At 41.2% G+C, this 20,119-nt stretch overlaps 1 protein-coding gene across 7 annotated transcripts in view, besides 4 other annotated features; it reads right to left on the bottom strand.

Moving 5' to 3' along the window:
- The window catches only part of HSD17B12 (hydroxysteroid 17-beta dehydrogenase 12), a 299,895-nt gene that overhangs the window by 172,638 nt on the left and 107,138 nt on the right, over positions 1–20,119 (bottom strand). Inside the window, exon 1 of one of the 7 annotated variants that reach the window (NM_016142.3) lies at positions 2,991–3,240. The exons of 4 other annotated variants lie outside the window; for them this stretch is intronic. In NM_016142.3, the coding sequence (NP_057226.1) occupies positions 2,991–3,150 (160 nt within the window). In that variant the 5' untranslated portion in view covers positions 3,151–3,240. Of the gene's footprint in view, positions 1–2,620; positions 2,876–2,990; positions 3,241–20,119 lie in introns of those variants that run through there. 2 more of the 7 variants (XM_017017881.2, XM_011520156.2) reach the window with 2 other exon arrangements.
- Positions 2,486–2,545: an enhancer, noted in NCBI's record as "active region_4644". NCBI's record gives its function as "activates an Ori minimal core promoter by ATAC-STARR-seq in GM12878 lymphoblastoid cells {active_cell/tissue: GM12878}" and the evidence as "EXISTENCE:reporter gene assay evidence [ECO:0000049][PMID:35858748]".
- Positions 2,696–2,745: an enhancer, noted in NCBI's record as "active region_4643". NCBI's record gives its function as "activates an Ori minimal core promoter by ATAC-STARR-seq in GM12878 lymphoblastoid cells {active_cell/tissue: GM12878}" and the evidence as "EXISTENCE:reporter gene assay evidence [ECO:0000049][PMID:35858748]".
- Positions 2,820–3,385: an enhancer, noted in NCBI's record as "NANOG-H3K27ac-H3K4me1 hESC enhancer chr11:43702143-43702708 (GRCh37/hg19 assembly coordinates)". NCBI's record gives its function as "activates a minimal SCP1, AML or CMV promoter by ChIP-STARR-seq in naive H9 embryonic stem cells {active_cell/tissue: H9 hESC(naive)}" and the evidence as "EXISTENCE:reporter gene assay evidence [ECO:0000049][PMID:30033119]".
- Positions 3,596–3,645: an enhancer, noted in NCBI's record as "active region_4642". NCBI's record gives its function as "activates an Ori minimal core promoter by ATAC-STARR-seq in GM12878 lymphoblastoid cells {active_cell/tissue: GM12878}" and the evidence as "EXISTENCE:reporter gene assay evidence [ECO:0000049][PMID:35858748]".

The following is a 20,119-nucleotide window of genomic DNA, read 5'->3' as shown; positions in this document are numbered from 1 at the left end:
TTCAAAGTTTTTGTTCTTAAATTTAGAAGAGCCAATTTGTGAGAAAAGACAAAAAGTGAGAATCCACGCTTTCTGCCCCTCAGATCCTAAAATCTGAGGCAGACAGATTAAACATACTCACATGAAGATACTCACATGAAGAGACTAAGAATAACAAGAATAAAAATATAGTATCAATTCAACATATACTAATAAAATACTTAAAATATATAATTGGTTTTAAAGAGGAAAATATTAAATATTAGTACTAGAAAGTAGATTCAAAGGCTGCATAAGAACAGAGACTCTTGAGATTAAGATAGTAATTTCGTAGGGAAAAAACTTACTAGTACTATTTACATACAACAATTCTAAAATCATAACTTTGGTGGAACAATATTTTTAATCACAACTCTAATTATTCAAGTGTCATCTCTGCTAGTTTGTTTTTCAAATTATTTCAGTTCACCCCTCCAACTCATGTGAAGAACCTGTTTAAGATGAGCTGCTCTTAATTTTGTTTTTGAAGAGTCCCAGAATTTGAAGATAAAGGGAGTATTTTCTTTTAAGATCACTTCTTCTGCTTAAGCATTTAAAAAAAAAAAATCCAAAACCCAGGGTAAATTGAACCTGTCAGCATTTCACTTCAATTATGATACTATGATCCTCTGCTGTTCCAGTGTTCCAGTTCAAATTTCATATCTAAATCTTACACAAATACTTCCCTTAATTTATCAATTATCCTTCCTCTGGGGCCAAATCTTTTCAACACAAATGTTACTTATGGTGTTACATCACTTGCCTTTTACTGTACACTCATATGTAGATGACTTGGACTTATCATTTGAATAATCAACCAATATGGTCAATTTTAAAGAGAAAAAAAAAAAAAAACAAAAAAAAACACATCCAGGCATGGTGGCTCACACATGTAATCCCAGCACTTTGGGAGGCTGAAGCAGGAGGATTGCTTGATCTCAGGTCTTCCAGACCAGCCTCTGAAACAGAGTGAGGCCTTGTCTCTACAAAAAACAAAAAAAATGAGCTGGTGTGGTGATGCACACCTGTAGTCCCAGCTACTCAGGAGGCTCACATGGGAGGATCACTTGAACCCAAGAGTTCGAGGCTGCAGTTGGCTATGATCACACCACCACACCACTGCCCTCCAGCCTGGGTGACAAAGTGAGACCCTGTCTCAAAAAAAAAAAGAAAAGAAAAGAAAACAACAAGTTATTAACATTAGTCTTTGCTTACCAATTACAAATTTTATCTTGATACAATTCCCTAATTTTTATCTTGTATAAAAATCTTGTAGTCTTTTGTAGTCAAAAGTCTTCAAACAGGTTTTCCAAAACTAACAATGAAGAATGTGGGCAAGTCAATTGGGAAATCATAATCTTAATTATAACCAAGTTGAATACTTCACTTTCTGTTTTTTTTTTTTTTTTTTTTTTGAGATGAGTCTCGCTCTGTCACCCAGGCTGGATGGAGTGCAGTGGCATGATCTCGGCTCACTGCAAACTCCGCCTCCTGGGTTCAAGCGATTCTCTTGCCTCAGCCTCTGGGACTACAGGGGCGCGCCACCACGCCCAGCTAATTTTTGTATTTTTAGTACAGACGGGGTTTCACCGTGTTGGTCAGGCTGGTCTCAAACTCCTGACCTTGTGATCCACTCGCCTCGGCCTCCCAAAATGCTGGGATTACAGGCGTGAGCCATCACACCCAGCTGAACATTTCACTTCCTTTTTCAGAGAAACAGGTGACTGTGAAACAGAATTATAATGTTGCTCCACATCGTCCAAAGATTTCACATACATATCCACTGCTAAGATGTTTTCTCTTAATGTTAACATAAACCCAAAAGGTTAACATATGTCTTTCCTACTAGGTTGTTTAAATGTTTCTAAATAAACAAAGAACATGGAGTAACATTATTAGTGTATCTTACCTGAGCCCAGTCTGCAGGCAATGCCTAACCACCCCAAAATTCAATAAAATGCTTAGGAAGTGCACATTCGATTATAAAACATCAAAATAAATAATCATCTCAGGGTAGGACCACAAGCATATCATAAGTAATCACTCGGTTTAAAGGGAAAAAAGGCCAAGAGACGAAAAATAAAGCAAAGAAGGAAACAAAATAGGTTGAAAAAGAAAAAAAAAAGGGGGGGGGGAGCAAAACTTCCCTGCAGATAATTTTCCCTATTTCCTCAACCTGACCTTCGTCCTCCATTTTAAAAATCCTCCGACTACAAGTTCCATGTGTTTGGTTCACTCTTTACGGGTATACTTTTTCCTACAAACGTCCTTGTGAAAAAAAAAAAAAAATCTGATTTTAACATGATGAGTTATCATTTTACAGAAGCAATAGTTCTTGCTACTCGTTAGGACTCCAGAACAGTTTAGCGAGAATTCCTTTTAAAGGGGCTTTGTAATTGTATGAAATAGGCCAAATCCAGATACGATTACTATCTTAATCGTAACTGGGGAGGTACGATTCCGCAGTGCAAAAAGCCTTCTGAAATTGTGTCCCTACACCCCTTTCCATCCTCTGCCCAAACATGTTAACAGAATGCTCTGCATCCTTAGCACAGGGCCAATATTCAAACCGAGCGAAAAACTTTATTTTAAAAACACTTACAAGGGGCGAACCAAGGAGGACAGCGTGTGACTGAGGAGGCAGCAGGGCGACTGACTGGCTCCATGAACACGGAATGGCTTAAAGGGCACAAGCCCCAGAGACTTAAGGCAGTTTTCTCCTACACCCTAAGCTGAGCTTAGATTCCCAGGATTGAGCGAGCAGTGTATTTCGTACCTTAAAACTCTGCAAGTAGTCTAAGCAAGCAGAAGACAGCCAAGGGAGCCAGGAGGGGCCCGCGGGGCACAGGAGCCTGAGAAAGAGGAGAGCTGGGGAGGGGAAGGCCAGGAGCAGACCCCAGAACTAGTCATCACGGCCCAGGCCTGGTCCGGGCCGCCGCGGGAGCGAGGACGCGGCGCTGCATCCGACTCACCTGCCCATTCTCCGAGCCCCGGGCCGACCCCCGCCTCATTCCCCACTCCCCAGACCCGGAGGGCCGTGAAGAGCGAGTACGAAATACGCAGGGCTAGGTAGGCCACGGTGCCCGCGCCGACCCAGTACAGGAAGCCGGCGGCGGGGAGAGCGCTCTCCATGGCTTTCCACTAGGCCTCACTACCTTCGTGAATGAAAAGAGCGAGTGAATGAATCCAGGAGGAGGCGCCGGCCGTGACGGTGAGGATGACACTAATAGGCGCTGCTCCGACACCACTTTGGGCCTAAACCCCGCCCGCGGGGCCATATCCGTGTCGCTATTGGTGACCCGTCTTTCCCTCTGCGCGTAGTGCGTCAGCCATTAGCTGACTCCAGTTCCACTGCCCCTCCCACACTCCTCCCATCACCGCGTCCCCCGGGGTTCCGCCAGTGAGCGCCCTGTCTCACCCCACCGAGGCGCCCCGGTCTCTCATTGGCTGCAGCCGTACTCGCGACTGCGGAAGACTGCGCTCGGATTGGCCGGTCAGACCCAGGCTGGTTTGAGCTCAGGTTCGAAGAGGAAATGGGATCAGAGAAGCCGCTAGTGAATGGAAAGATTATAGTAAGAAGTGGGCGTAGGCAGGGCGCGGTGGCTAACACCTGTAATCCCAGCACTTTGGGAGGCCGAGGCGGGCGAATCGCTTGAGCTTAGGAGTCCGAGACCAGCCTGGCCAACATCCGAACCCCGTCTCTACTAAAAATACAAAAATTAGCCGGGCGTGGTGGCGTGCGCCTGTAATCTCAGCTACTCGGGAGGCTGAGGCAGGAGAATCACGAACCCGGGAGGCAGAGGTTGCAGTGAGCCGAGATCGCGCCACTGCATTCCAGCCTGAGCGACGGAGTGAGACTCCATCCCAAAACAAAAACAAAAAAAAAAAGAAAAGAAATAGGTGTGGAGCCACAGTTTTATTTTCAACTCTTTATTAAATAAATATATATTTTACATATATGATATAATTATATAATAAATATATCATTGTTAAGCGTGCTGTCATTGTTGCCATAAACTTTTCCAGATAAAGGCTTGCAGTCTTCTGTGTCTGTGCCTTCCTCGCTGCAGGCATTCGCCCGGGTTACACTCACTCATAGAGAGCCCTTAAATGCCAGACCTCCCTCCCAGCTGAGCACTAAACATCACTTAGTTCCCAACGATTTGGGGTTCAAGGCAAATAACCTGATGGAGTCTAATAACTGTTAGACGATGGCATCAGAGCTGTATGGTGAATGAAAAATATAGGAACACAGCTTGCTGAACAATTAGTTTTGGAAGGAGACTATATCTTTTAATTTGTCTTCAAAGGGGGATAGAAAATTTTACTTTCTTTTTTAAATTTCCCTTTTTTGGTTGGGGAGTGGGGGAGTGGTATTTCCAGGGGGCACAGAAGTGTGAAGTCCAGATAGAGGCATGGGAACTACGTTAGCAAAGTTGCAGAGGAGAAAGATCACAAGGTAAGTTTAAAAAATTGTGTAAAACTTAAGGAGATTTTGGGCTGAGACGATGGGGTTTTCTAAATATACAATTATGTCATCTGCAAACAGGGACAATTTGACTGCCTCTTTTCCTAACTGAATACTCTTTATTTCTTTCTCCTGCCTGATTGCCCTGGCCAGAACTTCCAACACTATGTTGAATAGGAGTGGTGAGAGAGGGCATCCCTGTCTTGTAACTCAATGTGCAAAAATCACAGGCATTCTTATACACCAATAACAGACAAACAGAGAGCCAAATCATGACTGAACTCCCCTTCACAATTGCTTCAAAGAAAATAAAATACCTAGGAATCCAACTTACAAGGGATGTGAAGGACCTCTTCAAGGAGAACTACAAACCACTGCTCAACGAAATAAAAGAGGACACAAACAAATGGAAGAACGTTCCATGCTCATGGATAGGAAGAATCAATATCGTGAAAATGGCCATACTGCCCAAGGTAATGTATAGATTCAATGCCATCCCCATCAAGCTACCAATGACTTTCTTCACAGAATTGGAAACAACTACTTTAAAGTTCATATGGAACCAAAAAAGAGCCCGCATTGCCAAGTCAATCCTAAGCCAAAAGAACAAAGCTGGAGGCATCACACTACCTGACTTCAAACTATACTACAAGGCTACAGTAATCAAAACAGCATGGTACTGGCACCAAAACAGAGATATAAACCAATGGAACAGAACAGAGCCCTCAGAAATAACACCACACATCTACAACTATCTGATCTTTGATGAACCTGGCAAAAACAAGAAATGGGGAAAGGATTTCCTATTTAATAAATGGTGCTGGGAAAACTGGCTAGCCATATGTAGGAAGCTGAAACTGGATCCCTTCCTTACACCTTATACAAAAATTAATTCAAGATGGATTAAAGACTTACATGTTAGACCTAAAACTATAAAAAACCCTAGAAGAAAACCTAGGCAATACCATTCAGGACATAGGCATGGGCAAGGACTTCATGTCTAAAGCACCAAAAGCAATGGCAACAAAAGCCAAAATTGACAAATGGGATCTAATTAAACTAAAGAGCTTCTGCACAGCAAAAGAAACTACCATCAGAGTGAACAGGCAACCTACAGAATGGGAGAAAATTTTTGCAATCTACTCATCTTACAAAGGGCTAATATCCAGAATCTACAAAGAACTCAAACAAATTTACAAGAAAAAAACAAACAACCCCATCAACAAGTGGGCAAAAGATATGAACAGATACTTCTCAAAAGAAGACATTTATGCAGGCAACAGACACATGAAAAAATGCTCATCATCACTGGCCATCAGAGAAACGCAAATCAAAACCACAATGAGATACCATCTCATACCAGTTAGAATGGCAATCATTAAAAAGTCAGGCAACAACAGGTTCTGGAGAGGATGTGGAGAAATAAGAACACTTTTACACTGTTGGTGGGACTGTAAACTAGTTCAACCATTGTGAAAGACAGTGTGGTGATTCCTCAAGGATCTAGAACCAGAAATACCATTTGACCCAACCTTCCCATTACTGGGTATATACCCAAAGGATTATAAATCATGCTGCTATAAAGACACATGCACGCGTATGTTTATTGCAGCACTATTCACATTTGGAACCAACCCGAATGTCCAACAATGATAGACTGGATTAACAAAAAGTGGCACATATACACCATGGAATACTATACAGCCATATAAAAGGATGAGTTCATGTCCTTTGTAGGGACATGGATGAAGCTGGAAACCATCATTCTCAGCAAACTATCGCAAGGACAAAAACCCAACACCACATGTTCTCACTCATAGGTGGGAATTGAACAATGAGAACACTTGGACACAGGAAAGGGAACATCACACACTGGGGCCTGTCATGGGGTGGTGGGGGGGTGGGGAGGAATAGCATTAGGAGATAAACCTAATGTAAATGACGAGTTAGTGGGTGCAGCACACCAACATGGCACATGTATACATATGTAACAAACCTGCACATTGTGGACATGTACCCTAGAACTTAAAGTATAATTTAAAAAAATTGTGTAAAACAATAAAGTGCTTCACACTTACTCTCTACCTTCCTTCAAGAGTTTTTGTTTCCTTCTCTGGCATGGATTTGGGCTCAGAAAGGTACCTAAAATTTGTTCTTAGCCAGTAGGGGCTGCTGATTCAAGACTTGAGTGTTTTTTGTAAAGCAAGAACTTAAGGATAATAATTCTAAGGGTAACAGTTCAACATACCTTGCAGCTAACTTCATAGTTTGATAAGATTCAATTTGAGCCTTATTTCTTGCTGCCCAAACCCCCCCTTCTCCATTCTCTTATCAGATTAATTAGGTCTAACCCTAAGGCTGTAAATGTAAACCATCAATTACCCTGCAGAATTCAGCCATGTGAGTCGAGCTGACATCATATTTTATTTTAATTGAATTTGGTACCTTTGGCTGGGGCTGCCTCTTCAGTTCAACTAAAGGCCCACCACTCTTCGTCCTCAACTTCTCCCTCTTCCCCAAATCTTTGCCTACAGTATAGCTATATCCCCAAATTTATATATCCCAGCTCATCATTGCTCACCAACAAGGCACCCTCTAGATATTCAGTCCCATTCTCCTTAGAATAGGGTGGAAGGGGGAGAAGACAGTTATTATAAACTAACAATACATATTTTTTGTTGCATATGTCTGTCTGTGGCCCCCACTAGAATCTATGATTATAGGGAACACTATGCTGTGAATCCATAGGACCTAAAACAGTGCCTGGTACCTAGGGTACCCCAACAAATATCTAAGAAATAAACAGAAGTGAAGATTCATTCATTCAACAAATATTATTGTGTTCTAATTATGTGCCAGTCCACTGAGCTAGGTACTAGGTATAAAATAGTGAGCAAATGGGCAATTCTCAGTCCTAACCCTACTCTACCATTCAACAGGGAGTGGCCACTGCTTTCCTCTCAGTGTCCTTTGCTGGCCCCTTCTCTTACTGGCCTCTAAATTACACAGTGCCCTCAGGCTCAGACCCCAGCTCTCTTTACGTCTCTAATATATGATTTTATCCAGTCCCTTGGTTTTAAATATCAGCTGTAAGCTGATTATTTCCAAATGTCTCTGTCCAGGCTCAACTTCTGCTTAGAGGTCCAGACTTCTATACAGTATATATATCCACCTGCCTATTCGCATCTCTACTCAGATATAAAATAAACATTTCAAACTTAACATGTTTAGAATAGAACTCTACGCTTAACACATACACACACACACACACACACACACACACCCTCTTCCTCTTTTCATTCCTATTTCTATTAATGATACCATCATTTACCCCCTTTCTAAGGCCCAAGACTTAGGGATGAATGTTAACTCTTTCTTTTCTTTTTTTTCCCGCTCTTACCGCCCAGTCTGGAGTGCAATGGCGCAATCTCAGTTGACTACAACCTCCGCCTCCCAGGTTCAAGTGATTCTCCTTCCTCAGCCTCCCAATTAGCTGGGGTTACAGGTGCCCGCCATTATGCCCAGCTAATTTTTGTATTTTTAGTAGAGACAGGGTTTCACCATGTTGGCCAGGCTGGTCTCAAACTCCTTACCTCAAATTATCCGCCTGCCTGGGCCTCCGAAAGTGCTAGGATTACAGGCATGAGCCAACATGCCAGGCCTGAACCTTGATTCTTTTCTTTCCATTACATTCCATATCCAATTCTTTAGCAGGTCTTATTCACTCTACTTCCAAAATATATCTTGACTGGCCACTACTAACCTAATTCAAATCACAAGCATTTTTAGCCTGGAATATGGCAATAGCCTCCTAACTGGTCTCCCTAAAGCCTGTGTTGGAGTTTGTTGTCCATGTAGCAACTAGAGGGTTTTTTTTTTTTTAAGTAAATTAGATATCATTTTCTTCTACTCAAATCCCTTCAAGGACTTTATATCACATTAAGAACAAAATCCTCCAAGTTGAGTTTGTCTGCCCTGACCTCTCCGGCAACACGGACCACCCTCTCCTGTGCTCACTTGATTCCAGCCACACTAACTCCTTGCAGTTCCTCAAATAAGTCAATTTCATTCTGGTCTCAGAGTCGTTCTATTACACTTCCACTTCCCTCTGCCTGGAACCTCTTACTATCTTCCCAAGGCTCACTCCTTTGTATTATTTAGGCTTTTGTTCACATGTCATCCCCCTTAGAATGGTATTCCCTGACCTCCCTTCATAACTTTCCCAAATAGCTTTATCCTCTGCTCTAGCAATCCTTATCCTTTTATCTTACTTTGTTTTCCTTACAGAACATAATGCTTTCAAATTGTTTGATTACTAGGTCTTTGTCCATCTACCTAATAGAATGAATGTAAGTTCATTAGTACAGTGAACTTTTCTTGTTCACCACTGTATCTTTAGCTAAGATGTGCACCCAAGAGTACCTGACACTTGGTATGCAATAAATACCTGTTGAATGGGTGATGAAGGAATAAATGAAAATAGATTGTCTAGTGGGAGAGACAGACATTCAGCAAACTTCCAACTAATTATATGATAAAAATTGTAATACGTACAAAGAAGAAAATAATAGGACATAAGGAAAGAGGTTAACAAGAGGACCTAATTTAGGTGGGGGAAAAGAAACAGCCTTGAAACGCCTTTCTAAGGAACCCATATTTGAACTGGGATCTGAGAAAATGCAGAAATTGAGTGAGGGTGTGGTAGAGGAGAAAGCAATCAACACCGGAATGAAGGCTTTGATGTGGTTTTGAAGAATACACATCTGTGCCTCTTGCAACTATCACAGCATATGGCATAAAATTAAATAGGCAATAATTGTTGGTGTAGGGCTATTTAAAATAAACACATGTACTTTGGAAATGGAATTTCCATTGCTGTTGGAATTTAGTTATTTTAATGAAAAGGAATGTTAAAGACTGAAACCATCTCATTTTGGTATGCATTCCTCTTCTAAAATGCCTAGGCACTACCCATGCAATTAATAGAATAATCGTTATTTAAAATGTACACATTTATTCTGATCACCTCAGCCTCTTTTTAGGAATTAGGAATACTAATTGTTTTATCTACTAAGGGAAAAAATGGCGACTTCCACAAAGTGAAGCAGTACATGCCAGATAGCCCTTTGGAGTTCAGGTGGTCACACACTTTTGGAATTCAACAATCCTTTGTCGCTGAATAAATTTTACGAACCACAGTAAACTCTAATGCATACAGGACCCTATAATGATGACCCACTCCTATTCAGCAGTATTCTGTGCTGAAATTTAACATCTAATGAAGGGTTAGTAGAGCCATACTAACCAAACATGTGACTAATAGCTCTCCGAAGAAGAGGCAATACGATAAAACTCTGGCCTTTAGTGTCAGGTAAATCTGGAACCAGATCCTGATTCTGCCTCTTATTAGCTGTATGATCTTGTATAGATTTAATTATTATGCATTCAAATTCCACATCTGTAAAATGAGAACAATACTACTTAAGCATTTAGCAGTGATTGGCAGATAGATATTAAGTGTTCAGTGAGGTAGGTACTACTCTTAACCCCATTTTATGAATGAGGAAACAGAAGCTTAAAGCTAGTAAGTGGAAGAATTGGAATTTGAACCAAAAAGGTGTGACTATGAAATCATATCTCCAGAACTAGCTCAGAGAAAGCAGCATCTAAAAAATGACTAAAGGCTGGGTGCCGTGGCTCATGCCTATAATCCCAGCACTTTGGGTAGATCCCTTGAGCTCAGGAGTTCGAAATCAGCCTGGGCAATATAGCGAAACCCTGTCTCTACAAAAAATACAAACAAACAAACAAACAAACAAACAAACAAACAAAACTAGCTGGGCTTGGTGGTGCATGCCTGTAGTCCTAGCTACTTGGGAGGCTAGGCAGGATAATTGCTTGAGCCTGGGAGGCGGAGGATGCAGTGAGCTGAGATTGCGCCATTGAACTCCAGCCTGGGTAACAAAGTGAGACCCTGTCTCAAAAAAAAAAAAAAAAAAGAAAAGAAAAGAAAAGAAAAGAAAAGAAAAAGACTAAAGGAGAGTAGAAGAGTCTCTAGAAATATTTTGTTATTACACAAATAAAATACTCAGATGTAATCACATTAGATTTCTGCTTCATTTATTAACAAATTTAGAGTTTAGAATAGTATTTAATATGAAAAAAATGAAGCAACAATATTGTATCATATTAGTATACAAATATTCCCATTTAGTCGAAAATTCATTTTTAATATTTCTGTAAATTGAGTTTCAGATCAGAGTTTCCTGATGAAATCAGGAGTAGTTCTATAGAATGAAAGTACACTTCATAATCAGGGAGTTTCATAGAAGCGAGGAATTATTAAGCATACCATCTTGTTTAATCCTTTGGGACATAGCTGAATCCTTCACTTGGCTGTAAAATAAAACCTTTTAACAGTTCTGTCTTCTCGCTCATCTTGATTTAAACATTGTTCAAAATATTGAACTTTAACTTGCCTTTAAATTCAGTTGTCCAATCCTGGGTTAAAAAGAAAAAGTGTTGTGATGAACAAACCAATTTAAAAGAAACTGAGTCTTAAGCATTAGAAATTGGGAGGTTTCCCAAAGTTAATATTTAATTTATTTAACAAGAAATATTACCATAAGAAAGGAAGATTAACATTTATTGGCCAGGGTGCGGCGACTCACGCCTGTAATCCTAGCACTTTGGGAGGCCGAGGCAGGCGGATCACCTGAGGTCAGGAGTTTGTGACCAGTCTGGCCAACATGGTGAAACCCCATCTCTACTAAAAACACAAAAATGAGCCGGGTGTGGTGGCAGGCGCCTGTAATCCCAGCTACTCAGGGGACTGAGGCTCTCTTGAACCCAGGAGGTGGAGGTTGCAGTGAGCCAAGATCGCACCACTGCACTCTAACCTGGGCAACAGAGTGAGACTTTATCTTAAAAACAAACAAACAAAAACACCTATTATGCTTTAATATTGCAATATCAACTTCAAAGTCACTTCACATACATTACCCCATTCAAACATCACAATAACACCCCCATTTTTCCAACAGGGAAATTAACTCTTTAAGTTAACCTTCTTGCATACGGACTACTTTAGTGCAGCAGGCCTGTTTCTAGAACCAAGATGTCTTCACTAAAAATGAAGGGCTAGGCCGGGAGCGGTGGCTCACGCCTGTAATCCCAGCACTTTGGGAGGCCGAGGCAGGCGGATCATGAGGTCAGGAGATTGACACCATCCTGGCTAACACGGTGAAATCCCGCCTCTACTAAAAACACAAAAAAATTAGCCGGGCGTGGTGGCGGGCGCCTGTAGTCCCAGCTACTTGGGAGGCTGAGGCAGGAGAATGGCGTGAACCCGGGAGGCAGAGCTTTCAGTGAGCCGAGATCATGCCACTGCACTCCAGCCTGGGCGACAGAGCGAGACTCGGTCTCTAAAAAAAATAAAAAATAAAAAATAAGAAGGGCTCTTTCTACTCTGCCACCTATTTTATAACAGAACTTAGACTCACATTCATAGTCTTCTGTAAACATATTTCCCAAATAAAGCTGAAATCAGTCATTTTGAAACAAGTGATTAGAAAATATAGTTTTAACATTTTACTTATTTTTTAGTTTCAAAAGCACACGGAATTATATGAAATGAAAAAGCATCCCACCCCATTTTCTATTCCCACTAACAGTTGGCAATTTGTACTGTATTCTTCCATTTCTTTTTCTTTTCACTGACATTTCTAAGTATGAAGCTATATAATATACACAACATATACATATATACTTTTTTAGAAGTAAAAGCTGTGATTATGCAAAAATAATTCAACAACTTTCTTTCTCCACTCAATAATATATGATTAAAAATATCATAGTGAAATCTTGACATACCAATATTGCACATTAACTGGTTTTCTTTATTGCATCAGCAGATCTAATAATTGTTCCATCAATCTTACTCAGAATACTTTCGCTTAAAGAAAGGAATTAGTGCCATGGTAAACAAACCAGTTTAAAACCGTGTGAAAGGGGCCAGGTGCGATGGCTCATGCCTGTAATCCCAACACTCTGGGAGGCCAAAATTGGCGGATTACCTGAAGTCAGGAGTTTGAGACCAGTCTGGCCAACATGGCGAAACCCCGTCTCTACTAAAAAATACAAAAATTAGCTGGGTGTGGTGGCACAAGCCTGTAATCCCAGCTACTTGGGAGGCTGAGGCTGGAGAATCACTTGAACCTGGGAGGTGGAGGCTGGAGAATCGCTTGAACCCAGGAGCCAAGATGGCGCCACTGCACTCCAGCCTGGGCAACAGAGTGAGACTCCATCTCAAAAAAATAAATAAATAAAATAAAACCATGTGAAAGGGAAAGTAAACCATAATATCTTACCTACATCATATTTCCAGCATAACTGTAGGACAGTTATGCAAGCAAACTTAAGGCAAATAATATAGCGGAATTTGAGGAGGTTTTCTTTACCTGAATCCTTAATTTGGCAATAGGTCCAAGGATTTGTTATCTTTACCCACACTTTTTTTTTCTAAAAATTCTAGCTACTTTAGTTTATATTATTTTTGCCTAGTTCTTTCCTTTATTCCCCTTATAATCTTTTTTAAAAATTTGTATAAAGACAGAGTCTTGCTCTGTCACCCAGGCTGGAGTGCAGTGGTATGATCATAGCTCACTGCAGCCTTGAACTCCTGGACTCAAGCAATCCTCCTGCCTCAGCCTCCCAAGTAGCTAGGACTACAGGCACACAGCACCACACCCAGCTAATATTTTTTGTAGAGACAAGGCCTTGCTATGTCGCCTAGGCTGGTCTCCAACTCCTGGGCTCAAGCAATCCTCCTGTCTTGGCCTCCCAAAGTGCTGGGATTACAGGCATGAACTACTGTGCCAGACTCCCTTGCTATCTTTTAAAATACATTTGATGTATACAAAAGATTAGATGAAATATATGTTAGTTATATAAAGCATAATATAATGAAAAACTGTAAACTCACCACCTAACTCAAGAACCAAAAACCAAAAACCTACCCTAGTCCATTCTCCAAAGGTAAGCACAGCCCTAAATGTTGTATATCGTTCTACTGCTTTTAAATATATATGCTTATATCAAAATATATATGAAATAATAACATGGTGTTTCATTTTGCTTATTTTTGAGCTCTATTTAAAAAGCATGATATGCTGGGTGCTGGGGAAGGCATCCCAGATCTTCCCTCCAGGACCAAGACCTTCATTCCCACATTTGCTGACAATCCTGGTCTATGTCCCTCTATGGGACCTGTCCTAGGCTAAAGGGAGCTGCTTTGCCCCTCTCCAATGGCAGCCTACATCCAATGACTGGATGATGCAGGAGTACAAAAGCCTGGACCACCTATCTTAATTATGAACATCTCTGAAAAGCCTTCCCAGCTTCAGAGCTCCCAGTGGAATTTCCTGAAGCTTCCATTATACTGCAGTGCAGTTCAACTTCTCTTTCAGCTTAATCCAGCTTCCCTCCCTCCCTTAAGGATGTTGTTCCCCAGTGTATTCCATTACAAATCCCCTGCAAGCAAATCTCAATCTCAGAGTCTGTTTCCTGGGTAACATGACTGTTGCAGGCTGCAGTGTATCTCCCTAAAAGATATGTTAAAGTCCTAACCCCACAACCTGTGACCTTGGCCTTATTTGGAAATAAGGTCTTTGCAGATGTAATCAGGTTAAGATGAGGTCATAAAGGATTAGGGTGGGCCCTAAACCCAATGTCTGTTTCCTTATAAAAAGAGAGAGATTTAGAGAAACACAAAGAGACAGAGGGAGAGACAATGGAAGCAGAGATTTTAGTAATACAGTTTCCAGCCAAGGAACGTTCAAAATGGCCAACAACCACCAGAAGTTAGGAAGAGGCAAGGAAGGATGCTTCTGGAGAACCTGCAGAGAGGGCATGGCCCTTCCCAACACCTTGATTTTGGACTTCTAGCCTCAAAATTGTGAGAGAATAAATTGCTATTCTTTTTTTTTTTTTTGAAACAGAGTCTAACTTTGTTGCCCAGGCTGGAATGCAGTGGCACCATCTTGGCTCACTGCAACCTCCGCCTCCCAGGTCCAAGTGATTCTCCTGCCTCAACCTCCCAAGTAGCTGGGATTACAGGTGCCTGCCACCACGCCCAGCTAATTTTTGTATTTTTAGTAGAGACGGGGTTTCAGCATATTGGTCAGGTTGGTCTCGAACTCCTGACCTCAAGTGATTCACCCACCTCAGCCTCCCAAAATTCTGGGATTACAGACGTGAGCCACCTTGCCTGGCCAATAAATTGCTATTCTTTAAAGCCACCTAGTTTGCAGGTGCACCTTGTTGCGGTAGACCTAAGACACACACTTGGGTAGTTTTCTGGAATTTGCTTTTTTTTTTTTTTAACTCAGCATCATGTTTCTGAGAATTATTCCTGTCATTGACTCTGGTTGTGGTTCTCTATTTATTTTCTTCAATATCAGTGGCAATATCTCATCAGAGATATATTAGCAATATACACAGCCAGGTGCAGTGGCTCATGCCTGTAATTCTAACACTTTGGGAAGCCAAGGCATAGAGGATTGCTTGAGCCCAGGAGTTCGTGATCAGCCTGGGCAACATAGCTAGACTCCATCTCTAAAAAAAAAATTTTTTTTTTTAATTAGCTGGACATGGTGGCACACACTGGTCGTCCCAGTGTGGGAGGATCATCTGAGCCAGGAGTTTGATGCTGCAGTGAGCTATAATCATGTCACTGCATTCCAGCCAGAGTGACAGAGCAAGACCCTGTCTCAAAAATATATATAATAATATTATTGAAAAACCTTTAATTCTATTCATTCTAAAATGATTATGCCTCTGTTTTGGGATACACTCTCTTACAGTATTTATGTTTATTTCAAATGTTTGAGAAAAGTTTCTATATAAATTTTTAAATTAATTACATATTTATCTTTACACATATGTGTTTGGCAGAATAATGACCTTCTAAAGATATCCATGTCTACATATCTGTGAATGTTACCTTGTGTGGGACCATATTATAAGGATGTGATTAAATTAAGGACCTTTGAGGTGGGCGGTTACCCAGATGAGCCTAATCTAATCAATCACAGGGGAGGTCCTTAAAATTGGAGAATCTTTCCCAGCTTTGGTCAAAGAGAGAGATGTGACTGTGGGAGAATGATTAGAGATGCAACATTGCTGGTCTGAAGATGGAGGACGGGTCCAGGAGACCAGGAATGTGCACAGCCTCTAGAAGCTGAAAAAGGCAAGGAAATTAACTTCCTCCTAGTATCTCCAGAAAATAATGCAGTGACTTTAGCCCAGTGAGATCCATGTTGGCATTCTAACCTATAGAATTGTAAGATGATTGTTTTAAGCCACTAATCTGCAGTAATTTGTAACAGCAACAATTGAAAACTAATTGTATGTGTGTGTGTGTGTTCCGTAAGGAAGTGTATCATGCTCTGGTCCCTAGCCTCCTACCTTGCTCACCACACTCAAGCATTAAGGGCCTTCTCTACAGCCCTCAAAAGCACCAAGGTCCATCCTACATGGGTTTTTTTACACATACTGGTCCCAACCATACTTTAAGTTTCATAAAGACCTGTTTGTCTTATTCACCATTTTGCCCTCATATACATTTAATAAATACAGGTTGAGCATCCCTAATCCAAAAATCCAAAATCTGAAATACTCCAAAATCCAAAACTTTAGAGCACCAACATGATGCCTTAAGTGGAAAATTCCACATATTAGTGCTTAACACAAACTTTGTTTTATGCAGAAAATTATTTAAAATATTATATGAAATTAACCTCAGGCTATGGTATAAGGTGTATATGAAACATGAATGAATTTCGTGTTTAGATTTGGGTCACATCCCCAATATATCTCATTATGTATATGCAAATATTCCAAAATATGCAACACTTCTGGTCCCAAGCATTTTGGATAAAGGATACCCGATCCGTATTCATTAGATGAATGAATGGATTATTATGGCAGAAGGAAAAGGGTAAAGTTAGTTGCAAGGAGCAATAACTTCTAGTTAAAAAATAAACTCAGGCTAGGTGCGGTGTGGTTCATCCCAGCATTTTGGGAGGCTGAGGCGGGCGGATCACTTGAGGTCAGGAGTTCAAGACCAGCCTGGTCAACATGGCAAAACCCTGTCTCTACTAAAAATACAAAAATTAGCCAGCCGTGGTGGCACACGCCTGTAATCCCAGTTACTTAGGAGGCTGAGGCAGGAGAATCGCTTGAACCTGGGAGGCGGAGGTTGCCATGAGCCAAGATTGCACCACTACACTCCAGCCTGGGCCATAGAGTGATACTCTGTCTCAAAAAAATAAAAAATAAATAAACTCAGTCAGAATTTTAAAACTATATAGTGTATCAGTTATCTCTACTTTTCTCTTAATTTATTACTTATGAATTGTTCATTTGTAGAAACAAGAATTGAAATGGTGTGACTATGGAAGCTGTGGCTTTGTTGCCTCACCTATCCCAAATCAGTTGGTTTGCTATCTGCAGGGAATAAAGAGCAAGTTATTAAAAGCAGTAAAAAGTAAACACGCAATTATTGAATAGTTGGTTATTCGTCCTCATTTCATTTGGGCTGTCTGGCAGATGTACTGACTTCATTCTCAACTCTTAAGAGTGATCTTAGGAAAATCGTCTCATGTTGCCCTGTTTACATGGAACATTTTAATAATCAGAATACCAGAAAATGTCGTGTGAAGTATAGTGAACGACATTCACATTATCTATACAGGGTATCTAAACATATTTTCCTGTCTCTAGCCTCCTTCTATTAATTTTCCTTATTTTGTATTATGAGAATGTTAATGAGTCCCCTCAAAATCTTCTTTCAAACTAGGCAAAGAATGAAAAATAGGCCAGCACTTTGGGAGGCCCAGGCAGGTGGATCACTTGAGTTCAGTAGTTTGAGACCAGCCTAGGCAACATGGTGAGATGCTGTCTCTACAAAACAAACAAACAAAAAATGGCCAGGTGTGGTGGTGTGCGCCTGCAGTCCCAGCACTTTGGGAAGCTGAGGCAGGAGGACTGCTTGAGTCCAGGAGTTTAAGACCAGCCTGGGCAGTATGGCAAAACTCTGTCTTTGCCAAAAAAATAAAAGTTACCTGGGCGGGGTGGTGTGTGCCTAAGGTCCCAGCTGCTAGGGGAGCTGAGGTTGGGAGGATCTATTGAGCCCAGGAGGTTGAGGCTGCAGTAAGCCATGACTGCACCACTGCACTCCAGCCTGGGTGATAGAGTAAGACCCTGCCTCAAAAAAATAAAAATAAATATTTCCCCTTTCCTAGCACCCAGATATTGAGAAAATGGAGGGACTAGCATGCCTAAGGGCTCTAAAGTGGAAAAAATGCAGGAAGGAAGAAAGAGTAGCATGACTGGAGTGGAAAGGAAGGGAGGGTGGGAATGGGAATGATGGAAAGCTAATTTAAAAGTGAGCCAGGTGTGGTAAGATGCACCTGAGTCTGTGGTTAACCACATACAACCATAAAATATCCTTGGCGTACAATAAACTCCATCTACTTCTCATTCCCAACTTGTCTACTCCGTGGGTTGACAAGAATTTGGCCAATATAGGCTGATATCAGCAGGCTTTGCTCCAGGCCAAGGGTTGGATTTATCTTTGCTGTTTCTCTCAATTAGCTGGGATCACCCAGATCAGAAGATAATTTTAGACAAGGCATGCTTGTGTGTGTGTGTGTGTGCATGCGCGTGTGTGCGTGTGTAGAGCAAAGCATATCAGGAATAGAATCTTCTTTTTCTTTTTCAGAATGAGCCCTCAGTTGTGTGACCTTGGCCATTCTGGTATTTAGTTAGCTTACCTGTAAAATGGGGATGCAAATAATGTCTACCTTTCAGGGAGGATGACACCAAGAAACCTGAAGGACCTACTAGATTTACACTTCCACAAGTGGTCAATGGATTATTTGCTTCATCTCATTCTCATCAATAGTAGTTATCACCAGGCATGGTGGCTCACTCCTGTAACCCCATCACTTTAGGAGGCTGAGACGGGAAGATCACTTGAGGTCAGGAGTTCGAGATCAGTATGGGCAACATAGTGGGATCCTGTCTCTACAAAAAATTTAAAAATTAGCTGGGCATGGTGGCGCATGCCTGCAGTCCCAGCTACTCAGGAGGCTGAGGCACAAGAATCGTTTCAACCCGGGAGATGGAGGTTGCAGTGGGCCCAGATCGCACCACCGCACTCCAGCCTAGGCGACTAAATAAATAAATAAAACTTTAAAACCAGAGTTTTAGTTAGGGAAAAACAACCTTTGTCAAGACATGAGTAATTCTAGGGCTTTGTTTTCTGCTTCCAATCTATGCACTGTGTCAGACACTTCTCTTTCAGAATTGCCTTATTTACAACTATTAATATATTATGTATTACATTATCATGTATATTACGTGTTTAAGAAGGATATGAATGAACATTTTTTCTATAAAGACTTTAACATGGGTCTCTTTCTGATCTGGATTTGCAGGAAGACCAAAAGCCTTCACAGGATCCTCATAAATAAGCTCTTCATTCATCGTTTCATGAACGAGACATTTTAATCTTTTAAATGCAAATGTTAGAAAGACTTGCTTTCCAAAAACCAAGAATATTCCTTATTCATGCAAGATGTTTAGTAAACTGGGCTTAACATTAAAAACTCCGTTACTAGAAATCCTATTAATTGCAAATTTATGGAGAAACAACAAGAAATAATTTGTGTATGAGACAGAGCAGGGACCCCTCTTAGGGACTTGTGGGCACCCCCAAGCATGAAAATAAAGGAACATCTTAAATTCCTTCAAGGGAAGTTCCAGGCTCCTAGCTAGTCTTGAGAAGTAAATGAGCAACTTCATAAGCAAGAAGGTAGGAGTAGCCTAGAACAATAGCCATGGAAGTTAGAGTGATGTTTGGTTCCCTATGTAAAAAAACTAAAGATAACATCTTAACACATGTCCCTGTGTTATTTTTCAGAAACACAGACCCCCACCAAATGGATCGGCTGGCACATAGGCCTCAGATAAGAGGGAACTGAGGAATGAACTCTGAGGCCTGCTGTTTTTTGTTCTAAATTTCTTCTTGAGGGGCCTGGAGGAAGTCATGCCCATGAGCCAGTACAAATATTCTTTTCTGCTGACCCCAAATTTTTAAACAGAGCTTCTCTCCCTTACTCAAACTGCAAATGAGAACATCTTTGAATCTACATATGGTCTGTAAGCCTCTGCTTCAAGATATCCCACCCTTTTAGGCCAAACCAATGTATAACCTCCATATACTGATTTATGACTTAGCCTGTAACCTCTGCCTCCCTGCCTTAGAAACCCTTACCTGGGCCGGGCATAGTGGCTCAAGCCTGTAATCCCAGCACTTTGGGAGGCTGAGGCAGGCAGATCACGACATCAGGAGTACTGAGACCAGCCTGACCAATATGATGAAACCCTGTCTCTACTAAAAATACAGAAATTAGCCAGGCATGGTGGCGCATGCCTGTCATCCCAGCTACTCAGGAGAATCGCTTGAACCCAGGAGGCAGAGGTTGCAGTGAGCTGAGATCACGCCACTGCACTCCAGCCTGGGCAACAGGGCGAGACTCCATCTCAAAAAAAAAATAATAAAAATAA

This window comes from Homo sapiens, chromosome 11 (genome assembly GCF_000001405.40).
Source record: "Homo sapiens chromosome 11, GRCh38.p14 Primary Assembly".
NCBI classification, from domain to species: Eukaryota; Metazoa; Chordata; class Mammalia; order Primates; family Hominidae; genus Homo; species Homo sapiens.
This window is presented reverse-complemented; position numbering and strand designations above follow the sequence as displayed.